The sequence below is a fragment of the Homo sapiens genome, chromosome 1, assembly GCF_000001405.40.
Source record: "Homo sapiens chromosome 1, GRCh38.p14 Primary Assembly".
Classification (NCBI taxonomy): domain Eukaryota; kingdom Metazoa; phylum Chordata; class Mammalia; order Primates; family Hominidae; genus Homo; species Homo sapiens.
The window spans coordinates 145,611,425-145,624,223 of NC_000001.11; the positions used below are offsets into that span (position 1 = coordinate 145,611,425).

The 12,799-nt window shown below is 37.5% G+C and overlaps 1 protein-coding gene across 10 annotated transcripts in view; it reads left to right on the top strand.

The window, feature by feature from the left end:
• Positions 1-12,799, top strand: part of GPR89A (G protein-coupled receptor 89A) — a 62,663-nt gene that overhangs the window by 3,437 nt on the left and 46,427 nt on the right. For 6 of the 10 annotated variants that reach the window (XR_007063066.1, NM_001097612.2, XM_006711492.5 and 3 more), the window contains exons 2-5: positions 4,810-4,869; positions 6,896-6,999; positions 11,630-11,736; positions 12,189-12,290. Coding sequence is in view for 8 of the 10 variants with exons in the window: in NM_001097612.2 (NP_001091081.1) it covers positions 4,810-4,869; positions 6,896-6,999; positions 11,630-11,736; positions 12,189-12,290 (373 nt within the window). In the remaining 2 variants the exon portion in view is untranslated. Of the gene's footprint in view, positions 1-777; positions 824-4,809; positions 4,870-6,895; positions 7,000-11,629; positions 11,737-12,168; positions 12,291-12,799 lie in introns of those variants that run through there. The other 4 variants (NM_001097613.3, XM_011509908.3, NR_036541.2 and 1 more) reach the window with 4 other exon arrangements.

Consider the following 12,799-nt stretch of genomic DNA (forward strand, 5'->3'; position numbering starts at 1 on the left):
GAAGTGAGAACATGTGGTATTTGGTTTTCTGTTCTTGCATTAATTTGCTTAGGATGATGGCCTCTAGCTGCATCTATGTTGCTGCAAAGGACATAATTTTGTTCTGAAAGTCTTTTTAAGCTTTTCTTTTTCAATGTGAAAGGAGGCCACAATGAAATATTAAAGGTATATATCTGTTTCTCTTTTCTTCCATTCCCCTCCCCACCATATAAACTTAAAATTTTTGCTTGTTTTCTCTTCCATTTCATAGCAATCTTGGTGATTTTTTTTTTAATCATCCATTTCCACTATACATACCACCCTCAGTCCTAACTGCCCAACTTCTCTGTCTTCAGTCGTGGCTTCATAAGTCATATAAATATGGTCTCTAAACTCTGAATTTACATCTGTCTCCACCGGTAAATATTTATAATAGCCAAAGGATATCCTGGACATTTTCTCCTAATCTGTTTGACCCTTTCCTTTTCTGCTTGATCTAGATGCTTGGATCCAACTTACTTTCTTACACCCTCTTGTTCGTTTACCTTCATGTATATATAAGTCCACACTTGGATCACTGCTATAGTTTGTTTACTACTAATACAGAGGCCTGAAGGCTACTATAGAAAATCACATAGCTGTGTAGTTTGCCAACGCCAGGAGTTTAACCCTCAGCTCACTGAATTATTCCTTTTCTTGACCTTAATCAGCTACTTGTTTCATTCCCCTCAAAGTTTCTCCGAATCTTTGTCACTCTCCTCAAAGCTCCTTTTTCTAACTCACCTCTCTTACTCTTAGCAGATAACCTTGCCTCGTACTTACTCAACAAAAGTGAAGCCAAAAGGTATGATCTCCTACTATGAATACTTTCTGCATTTTAATCTAAAAGGTTATCTGTGTTCACAACCATTCTTACCTCCTTTCCTCCCATTTCAGAAAACGGGGTTCCCCTACTCCGGTTTAAAGCCATTCTACCTACCTTTGATCTTAGAGTAGCGTATTTTGAAGTGGTTAAAAGCACAGATTTTCTAAACAGACAGACTCAATAAGAGCTGAAAAAATAATATTTAAAAAAAAGCACAGATTTTGGAGTCAAACAAGCTTGAGTTCAATCTTGATTCTGACACTTACTATAAATTGATTAACTTCTCTAAACCTCATCTTTCTCCGTGAAAATAGGATAATCAAACCACTGTACTGAGTTTTTAATTATTTTTATAAGATTATAATGCTAAGTACTACTTAGAGAGCCTGTAGTATAGTAAATGCTCAATAAAAGTTACCTAATCATATTAATAATAGTATTATCAGTTTATCCTCTAGTATTCCACCATCCTTCTCATCTTTTTCTCCTTACTTGACTGCTTTCTTTCCCCTTGGCCAATAAACTTTCCCTTTATTCCACATTCTTCTCTAGCCTATTATCTAATGTTTTCTTTTTTTCTCATTCCTGGCTCTCCCTAGAGTAATTTGCATTTACTGTCCCCACTGCTTTAGCTCCCATTCATTCTGACCTGCTACACTCTGGTTCCTGCCTCTACCTCACTATTCAAAATTGTTTTCCTTATCCTCTAGTGTTTTCTTCTTGGCACATTGCTCTCCTTACTCTAGATACTATTCCCAGGTGATCTCATGTACTTTGGTGGTTTCAACTCATAGGTATATCTTAGACCTGCCTTCACAATCTGTCTTTTATTCCAGATACTTGCTGGATATCTTGATCCATCTTGCTGGCTGTCCCTCAGGCCCTTAGTGTGTTCAAAAATGAGCTCATCATTTTCCCCATCCTCTGCCCCCTTTCCTAAACCTCTTCTTTCTCCAGTATTCTTTATATAAATTGGGTAGCTTCACTCTTCATCCTGTATTCCAAACTAGTCATCCTTGACTTCTCCCTGTTGATTTTACCTTCTAAATAGTTCTCAAATCTGTTTTCTCCTCTTCTGTCACCAAATGTCTTAATTCAGGGCTTTATCATCTTTCATCTGAATTCCCATAACACATTTCTATAATGTTTCTCTTTCTACACTGTTGTTTCCTTCAAGTGTGTCTTCCATACAGCCACCATACCGCTCTATATAATATAAAACAAATCAGACCATGCCATTTCCCTGCTTAAATAACCCTCATCACCTACAGACTATAATCTAAGCTCCTTAGGGTGGCCTTCAAAGCTCTCAGTGATTGGACATCCACTCCTCCTGTCTAGCCTCATTTTTAACCTCTTCCTTCTTTGAATTTCATCTTCTAGCAGCACCAAACCATGTGTAGTTCCCGGCATATACCATGCTATTCACTCTGCGCCTTTACTCATGCCCTTTGCTATCTGGAAAGCCCTGTCCTCCTACCCCTACCACCTGTTTTTACCCTACCTGATTCGTTTTTTGTTTGTTTGTTTTGTTTTGAGACAGGGTTTCGCTCTGTCACCCAGGCTGGAATGCAGTGACATGCTCACAGCTCACTATAACGTCTACCTGCCAGGCTCAAGTGGCCCTTCCACTTCAGCCTCCCCATAAGCTGGAACTACAGGCACGCACCACCATACCTAGCTAATTTTTGTATTTTTTGTAGAGATGGGGTTTCACCACGTTGCCCAAGCTGGTCTCGAACTCCTGGGCTCAAGCGATCTACCCAAAGTGCTGGGATTACAGACGTGAGCCACCATGTCCAGCCTCCCTACTTGATTCTTATTCATCCTTTGAGAGGATGGTTTTTATGTTAGGGGTGGTGGAAACCTTTGACTGTGTGATGAATACCTTGAAACCACTCTAGAAAAATGCACATAACCCCAAAATGTGCATACAATATCAGGTTTTAACCCCAAATTAAAACTTCCTTCGGCTCGGGCATTATCTTCTCCAGAAAATCTGTCCTAACCCCTTACAGATTGGTTTGGTCTCCCTCTTTCATATTGTTTTACAATATCATGTATGTATTTCTATCATTGCACATCCATATTATGTTATAATTATTTATGTACTGTCTTCACTATATTGTGAGCTCCTAGAGGGTAGTAACCATCCTATTCATCTTTGTATCCTCAGCACTTAGCATAGCACGTAGGAGTTATTACAGAAAATTTAAGATTGAATGCTGAAGAATAAACCATCTTTTATGTAGACCACTTAGCCATTCAGCAAGCACTTATGGAGAGCCTGCTACGTACCAGGCTTTGTGCTGGATGCCAAGGATACAAAGATTACAAGACAAACATGGTTTTTGTCCTCATAGAGCTTATAATCTAATGTCAAAAAATATTTAAATCACACATTACAAAACTGTATGGTAAGCACTTTGATGAGGGAAGTACAATGTAAAACAGGATTATATAAAAAGCAATTTATCTGCATTTGGGAGGGCAGAGAGGGCCTTCCAGGGGGAGTAAATAGCATAACTGGGAGAGGGCTAGAGAGAAGTTCCTTTCAGAGGACATCTACACAGGTCTCGATGTGAAAGAATATGGATCTAAAGAACCAAAGAAGTTCCAGGGGGCTGAACACATGAGTTTGCTAGGCAGCAGGGGCATGATAAGAAGCTAAAGTAGTCTGTGCTAAACTACTGAGTTTACACTTGCTCAGTAAAGTAGTCCCTAGAAAGACATAAAATCATTTTATTCATAAAGGTCCTAGCCAGTTTAAGAAGAAAAGAGTAGTTGTGTCAGTGTGTATGTATAGAAAGTTCTGTTTACTACAGACCAGCTTTATCAGCTGTCATGTGGCTACGGTCTCTGCCAGTTTGAAACAAAACTGACGAAAGAGGGATCCTGCAATCTCTCGGCTTTACATTGAGATGAAAACCACTTTTATGTAGATTAGGCAGGATGGTGGAGAAGCTAAGAAAACTCTCTGAAGGAAACAGATATAAAAAATATTAGGCTTTCTACTACTCCTCTAATTTTGGTCTCAACTCCTCTCCCCTGAAGTTTTTATTTTTTAAATTAATTTATTTTTATTTATTTTTTGAGACAGGGTCTCACTCTGTTGCCCAGGCTGGAGCGCAGTGGTGCAATCATGGCTCACTGCAGCCTCAACTTCCTAGGCTCAGGTGATCTTCCCACCTCAGCCTCCCAGGTGGCTGGGACTACAGGCACACCCCACCACCCCCAGCTAATTTTTATGTGTGTGTGTTTTTTGTAGAGACGGGTTTTCACCATGTTGGCCAGGCTGGTATTATTTTTAAATACTTGCAATCAGGGATCATCCATAAGAAGCAAGTCTCACTCTGACACCTTTTCTTTTTTTTCGAGACCTAGTCTCACTCTATCACCCAGGCTGGAATGCAGTGGCACGATATTGGCTCTCTGCAACCTCTGCCTCCCAGATTCAAGCGATTCTCATGCCTCAGCCTTTGGAGTAGCTGGGAATACAGGTGCCCACACCCAGCTAATTTTTGTATTTTCAGTAGAGACGGAGCTTTGCCATGTTGGCCAGACTGGTCTTGAACTCCTGGCTTCAGGTGATCTGCCCACCTTGTCCTCCCAAAGTGCTGGGATTACAAGTGTGAGGCACCGTGCCTGGCCACTGACTCCTTTTCTATTTGCAAACTTCTCTGGCTCATATAATGATTATCATAAGATTATGGCAAAATATGTACTTCCATTTTTGTCTTAAAGCATACTCTGTAACATGGATAACTTCAAAACTCCAAGGGCATTTAAAAATTTATTTCCAATGTCATGAGCTTTAATAATAGGTCTTATAAGAGTGGATCTTATCTTTAATCCCTGAAATAAGTTAACCGTCTAGTTAGCAGACCTTTTATCATAAAAGAGTTTCTATAAAACATTTCTCAAAAGAAAATATGTATTGACATTCTATTTTCTTTCTCCTCCAGATACTATTTTTTGGATTTGGGTGGCTTTTCTTCATGCGCCAATTGTTTAAAGACTATGAGGTGAGAAGAAATCATTTTGTCATACTTACACTATATGATTTAGATTGACAAGAAAAATGTCTCCATTAAAGAAACATTATGTTCATTTCCAAGATAGGAAGCTTTTACCAAATAAGTACTATATAACTATTAGATTGCAGAATATAAGTAGACTTAATTGATTTAAAAGGGGGGAAAAAAGGCAAATCAAATATAGCCCAGAAGTTAGGAGCAAGGATTATGTCTTAGTCATATCAGGATATGTACCAATAGCAAATAGTTATTCTGTAGGAGAGAATTTAATTCATAATGTCTCACAAATGTTCCCTTTCATTTGTCTATCTGGCCCTGAATTGCAAACCTTATATTATAAGTTAATACCAAAATCCCAAGGCTATCAGGGGAACCAGTCCCCAATATTTCAACATAGGTTCTTTCTGTTTTCCTTAAGTGTCGGCCGGTCTGAGAAATAAAGAGAAAGAGTACAAAGAGAGAAATTTTACAGCTGGGCCTCCAGGAGTGCCATCACATATTGGTAGGACCGTGATGGTGACTCCGAGCCACAAAACCAGCAAGTTTTTATTAGGGATTTCAAAAGGGGAGGGAGTGTACGAATAGGGAGTGGGTCACAGAGATCACATGCTGCAAAGGGCAGTAAAATCACAAAGCAGAGGCAAAAATTAGAATTACTGATGAGGGTCTGTGTCCCACTGTGCACACATTGTCTTTATAAACATTTTAACAGGAAATAGGGTTCAAGAGCAGACAACCAGTCTGACTAGAATTTACCAGGCTGGAATTTCCCAATCCTAGTAAGTCTGAGGGCACTGTAGGAGACCAGGGTGTATTTTAGTCCTATCTCAACCGCATAAGACAGACACTCCCAGAGCGGCCATTCATAGACCTCTCTCCCAGAATGCATTCCTTCCCCAGGGTTATTCCTTGCTGGAAAAAGAATTCAGCAGTATTTCTCCTACTCGCTTTCTGCAAGAAGAAGAGTATGACTCTATTCTGCCCAACCCCGCAAGCAGTCAGACCTTATGGTTATCTTTCCGTGTTCCCTGAAAATTGCTGTTATTCTGTTCTTTTTCAGGGTGCACTAATTTCATATTGTTCAAACACACATGTTTTTCAAACAATTTGTACAGTTAACGCAATCATCACAGGGTACTGAGGTGACATACATCCTCAGTTTACAAAGATGACGGGATTAAGAGATTAAAGTAAGACAGTCATAAGAAATTTAAAAAGTATTAATTTGGGGAACTAATAAATGTCCATGAAATCTTCACAATTTATGTTCAGAGATTGCAGTAAAGACAGGTGTAAGAAATTATAAAAGTATTAATTTTGGGAACTAATAAATGTCCATGAAACAATTTATGTTCTTCTGCTGCGGCTTCAGCCAGTCCCTCCATTCGGGGTCCCTGACTTCCCGCAACACAAGGCTGGTGTTGTTTTTATCTTAAGCTTTGGATTCAGAAGATCACCACCCTAGACTCGACATTTCCTAGTTAGTTCTCCTAATTAGTAATAAGATCAGTGGTTATAGTCTACATTTGGGTCATTTCTAGGATATTCTCCATTAAACTTTCCCAGGGAGTTTATTGTCTGAAAGAGCCTGGGATTCTGGAGATTTTCTTCTGCCCAATACTTTAAGACCTCCCGAGGAAGGTTCCAGAACTGATCCAGGATCTGCAGAGTGTTGAAGAACCCCTTTAAACATTAACCATTATGTACGAATCTGTCAGTTTTTTGTCAGTATGCATCAGGAATTCTAAGTGCTACCTATGACCCTGTCACTTCATCTTCTTGTCCTCAAAATTCTTCATCCACAGGAGGATGCTGGTAATAGTGACTCAAGATTCAGAAGTGCCACCTATATTGATCTTTTTCTTTAGCTCCAGGCAAGTTGCTGTTGTGGCCCTACTTCCAATGACTTGAGAATTTCCTCAAAATAAGTTTTCTGACTTGTAACCAGAAGGAGGTTATCAGTTCAGTTTTTAAACAAGGAAATAACTTCTAGTCTCTGTTTGGCTTTTAACAGATACGTCAGTATGTTGTACAGGTGATCTTCTCCGTGACGTTTGCATTTTCTTGCACCATGTTTGAGCTCATCATCTTTGAAATCTTAGGAGTATTGAATAGCAGGTGAGTAAGAGTACTGAAAACTCCTCTTGAAGAGTTCTGTGCTACATTCTTTACAGTGGAAAAGCTATTGGATCTCATAACTGAAAAAAAAAACACTGTGTTAATAGTTCAGTTTCAGTAACTGCAATGATCACAACAGATATGGGTCACAGCCACCTAATAGCTGGTTTGATAAAGATTATGAGATACCAGGAAACAAAAGATCTGACCGTTAACTCTGAAGAACTCATTGGAGTGAGGCTGTGAAGCTGCAGTCTAGGCTTCACTCCTAGAAGCTTTATTTTTCCAGGACTGCTCGCTGACTGAATCCCAGTAACAGCCCTTCACATTGTTCTGCTGATTGAAAATCTCTACCTGAAAAGATTAGAATTCCTCAGAGCTACTTTAATGATCTCTCTGAAGACTGAAACTCCAGTTCTTACTTAACTTAGTTATTTTTATTGATTTTACAGTCATGGTCAAGTTTGGTTGAATTTAAAGTGTTTCTTAAAACACTTTTTAAAAATAACTCTTTACTCCCCTCCAAATAATAGACTTGTTAGTTTATTAGACAGTCTATTCAAAATATTTCTTGCTTGTTAATCTGCAAGCTTGAGTATGTTTTTAGGCCAGCATTTATATGTAGGGTTCATCAACTATGCTATGCAGACTTTGTTGTGCTTTTTTATCACCACCTGGAAAAACCTTTTAGGAGTAAAGCAGTCTTTCACTCTAAAGTTAGGATTCAGTGCCAAGGTAAGTTCATTATAGACCCCTGGCACTTGAGACTTGTAGAGAGACTATACTCTCAAATCCTTTGATAATCAGAGTTGAAAACGAAATTTAAATTAAAAAGAAAAACTTACTATACAGATGGTTAATCACAAAACATTGAAAGGTTAAAAAAAAAAAAAGAAGAGAGAGGGGCCAGACATAGTGGCTCACGCCTATAATCCTAGCACTTTGGGAGGCTGAGGCAGGAGGATCACTTAAGTGCAGGGGTTCAAGACGAGCCTGGGCAACAAAGTGAGACCCTGTCTCTACAAAAAAATAAAAAAAATTAGCAGAGTGTGGTAGTACACGTCTGTAGTGCCAGCTACCCTGGAGGCTGAAGCAGGAGGATCCCTTGAGCCCAGGAGTTTGAGGATATGCAGTGAGCTGTGATCACTGGACAAGACAATGAGACCCCATCTCTTAAAAAAAAGAGTGAGAGAGAGAGAATCAGAGTTGATAATAATGGTCTCTTGATAGAACAATGAATAACATGTATTATGGTAAAATAGAAGTGTTTTCTGATTCTCCTGCTTTTAAACTTTAATAATCCAAACCTTGGCCGGGCACGGTGGCTCACGCCTGTAATCCCAGCACTTTGGGAGGCCAAGGCAGGCGGATCACGAGGTCAGGAGATCAAGACCATCCTGGCTAACATGGTGAAACCCCGTCTCTACTAAAAATACAAAAAATTAGCTGGGCGTGGTGGTGGGCGCCTGTAGTCCCAGCTACTTGGGGGGCTGAGGCAGGAGAATGGCCTGAACCCAGGAGGCAGAGCTTGCAGTGAGCCGAGATTGTGCCACTGCACTCCAGCCTGGGCGACAGAGCAAGACTCCATCTCAAAAAAATAAATAAATAAAAAATAATCCAAACCTTTTCTTGGATGAGCTAGATATAGATCCTGTGACTATAGAGAATAGACAGGTATTATTTTACATAATGGTTATTAAATTTTATTATCACAACCTGCATCTTTCACTGCTATTTAAGCAGGGGTTGGCAGGCTTTCTTCTGTAAAGGGCCAGATAATAAATATTTTAGGTTTCTGTGGACCAGAAGGTTTCTATCACAAGTACTCAGCTCTGCTGTTGTAGAGAGAAAACAGTCATAGGCAATATATAAACAAACGAGCATGGCCATGCTCCAATAAACTTAATTTGTAAAAGCAGGTGGCTGTGAGGCCATAGTTTGCCAGCTACTCATCTAAATATTGATACAGAGGATTCAGATATTCTAAAGCTATATTTACTGTTTTTGGTAGATGATGTCCCCCAACTTTTAACTTATAGTTAATAACCCGTATAGTAAGAAACATCTGTCATACTATGGTGTATGTTTCCTAAATTTCTTAATTAGTTAAAGAGGATAAGAAGTAGCATTGCTAAAATCTGGTTTTTCTTTGTGTGCTATATAGAGGATTGGGTCTGAGACATATCTTCAGTTATACCTGTTTTTTCATGCTAATGTTTCACCCAATTATGGAACACAAATATGAACCTTGATGATGTATAACTGTCCATTGACTGGACTCAGAATCGTTTTGAAAAGAGAATCTTGGCCAGAATATTCCTTTGACTCACCTTTGAGCAGAGATCATATGACTTCCTATTCAAATATGTAATCTTGTTGGGATGCTTAGTTTTTTCAAGAGAATATCACTTTACTCTCAGCTCAAAAGACTAGTTAAAACATGTGGTTCACTTTTAATAGGCAGTCCATACTGCCAATTAAAGTTGCACTTGTTATTTCAAACCCACTGCTTCCCAAAATCTTTCAGAAGCTTAGCTGAAATACTATGTAGTATTGCCTGGAGGATGTCCAGCTTGTTTCTTTCTCTAAATGTTCTAAAGTAGTTGTTAACCTAGAGGAGCAAAAAGCTGTCAATGTATCTAGTCTAAATGGTATTCACTCCCTGTAGGGTAGCTTTTACTGAATGGCTCTTTGTTTCGTGATGCCTGCCATCTGTACTAAGGAAGGAACAATAAGAAACAGCCCTCTGAAACATATTTCTCTTGAAAGGATGTTGTTGATGACACTGTTAATTGCCTTTGCATTTTCTTTATGAAATCTTTGAAGAAATTTCATTGTAATCTTGTTAATAATTCAGTAACAATAAATGATAATTATGCTTCCTTTGAGGAATTAATTTTTATTTTCTTACAGACATGATGATTTTATCTAACTGATCAAATTTTTTATTTCACATTGACCATTAGAAAACTTAAAGCTAAATTTATGACCTACCCATAGCAACTTTCTAGAATTCTGTTTTATAATAGCCATCAGGCTTGGCCCAATATTTTACCTGTTACCATTGTTGTTCATATTTCCTTATAGTTCATTTCATCATCCTGTATTTTATTTATCTTTGTAAGCCATTTAACCACTTAGGCCTTTTTTGAAACAAGGCTTAAGTAAGTTTAAAATCAGTAAATACAAAGGACACCATCAAGAAAGTGAACCAACATTCCAAAAACAAGAGAAAATTTTTATAAATTACCTATCTGATAATGGACTGGGACTCGTATCTAGAATATATAAAGAATTCTTATAGTTTAATCATATAATACAATTAAAAAATGAATAAAGGATCTGAATAGGCATTTCTCCAGAGATGATATACAAATGGCCAGTAAGCACATATGAATAGATGCCCAATACCATTAGCCATCAAGGAAATGCAAATCAAAACCACAATGAGATACCACTTCACACCAACTAAAATGGCTATAACCAAAAAAAAAACAGAAAATAACAAGTGTTGGCGAGGCTGAGGAGAAACTGGAACTCTCATACACTCCTGAGGAAAATGTAAAATGATGCAGCCACATTGGGAAACAGTGGGAGTGCCTAAAAGATTAAATATAGATTTATCATATGACCCAACAATTCCACTCCATTTCTACCTAAAGAGAAATGAAAACATACGTCCACACCAGAATGTATACACACACATTCCTAGCGTCTCTATTTATAATAGCTAAAAACAACCCAAATGTCCTCAATTAATGAATGCAGAAACAAAATATAATATATCCATATAATGGGATGAATATTGTTCAACCATAAAAGGAATTATTGATAGATACTACAACATGGATGAACCTTGCAAACATTATGGTAAGTAAAAGAAGCCAGTCACAAAAGATTACATATTGGTGGTTTCCTAGAAACAGAAAGTATATTGGTGGTTTCCTAGAGCTGAGGAGATTGGGGAGAAACAGGGAGTGACTGCTAATGGGTACAGGGTTTCTTTATGGCGTAATGAAAATGTTCTAAAATTGATTTAGGTGATGGTTGCACAACTCTTGAGTATACAAAAACCATTGAATTGTACACTTTAAATGGGTAAATTATATCTCATTAAAACTGTTATAAAAAGTGCTAACAAAAAGTTTTAATAAATGAAGTACATCTTATAAACTAATAAAAGTAATTCATGCAAATCAGGTGTTTATATCAAGAGTACAAAAGAAATATTTTTGAGTATAACATATATTACTGTTAACATTTATTTTCCTTTAATTCTTACATTGGAATGAGATTCCTAGGGGTGGGTAAAACAATAGTCATTCTACCAGCAATGGCATATGTTGATACATGTTAATGGTATATGTTGCCTATGAATATATCAAAAACATAAACATTCTTATTTTAATATATGAAATTCTTAAGATGTTAAGATGGTCATATATACCTTTCAAAAATTTGTATTTTTTAATCTCTACAAATGAGTAGATTTTAAGAGCCTAGTAGGCTGATTAGATAGGATATATTCAATATTGAGTCCAAAGAGCAAAAGGACCCTTTGGAAGACTAAAGAGAAAGAAAGTTGCTGCCCTCTCTTCCTCCCAGTGACAGTCTTTGACATTTATTTCAGCTCCCGTTATTTTCACTGGAAAATGAACCTGTGTGTAATTCTGCTGATCCTGGTTTTCATGGTGCCTTTTTACATTGGCTATTTTATTGTGAGCAATATCCGACTACGTAAGTATTTTACCCTCTCAGTCAGCATATAGATTGAGATGAGTATTTGAGGGGACTTAAATTGTGGATAGCTTCATTTCTACATTAACTTTCAGTATCTACCGCTATTTGAGGATACCTCACACACAACATCTTAAAAATAAATATAAAATAAATATTGAATGAATTGGCACAAAATAAATATTGAATGAATGATTAGGTTATTTGTTCTGCCACAGCTTTATTTTTCTACCTATTAATAATGTCTCCTTTAGTTCATCCCACACCTTAAATTCAGCTAAATTTCTCTTACGATGGTAAGGATGCTTTCACTAAAAATTATGCTGTTCATCAGTCATTTGCCAAGTGAATTAGCAGCCAAATATTAGTTAGCATTATCTTATATTTTTAAATAGAGCAAGCTCTTTAACCTATATCTGTTTTTCCTAACAGTTTTGTCTCCTCTGTCTCAGTGCATAAACAACGACTGCTTTTTTCCTGTCTCTTATGGCTGACCTTTATGTATTTCTTCTGGAAACTAGGAGATCCCTTTCCCATTCTCAGCCCAAAACATGGTGAGTATATATAGGAGGGCAGAGGAAGTGGGGGGAGACGATTTGTTTAATTTTCTGATTTCAAAAACAATTAATTAAATTTCTTGGGGAAAAAATGTATTTGGGGAAATAATTTATTAATTCACAGGTTCTTGGGATTTGGAAAAAAATTTTTCTGATTGAGGAGGATAGCAAGCTATTTCTCTGAAAAATGTCTGATTTTGAACCACATTTTCTCCTTCATTCTAAGAGATAACTAATGCTGGTTTTGGACCTCACTTCTGTCATTCTAGAGTAGGAATTTTTGACCTTCATTTACTGAATATACTTAAAGGGTATAAGGAAAGAGAACGGTGTCTAACTCATATTGTATATGGAACTACAGGAATATATTTGTATGTGTATTTGGAGGTAAGGTATCAATAAACTTTTATCAGATTTGGGTAGCAGATTTGGGTCTGTGACCCAAAAGGTAAACGGCCACTGCTTAAGTGATGATAAAGATACATTAGGGAAGCATATGTATTTGA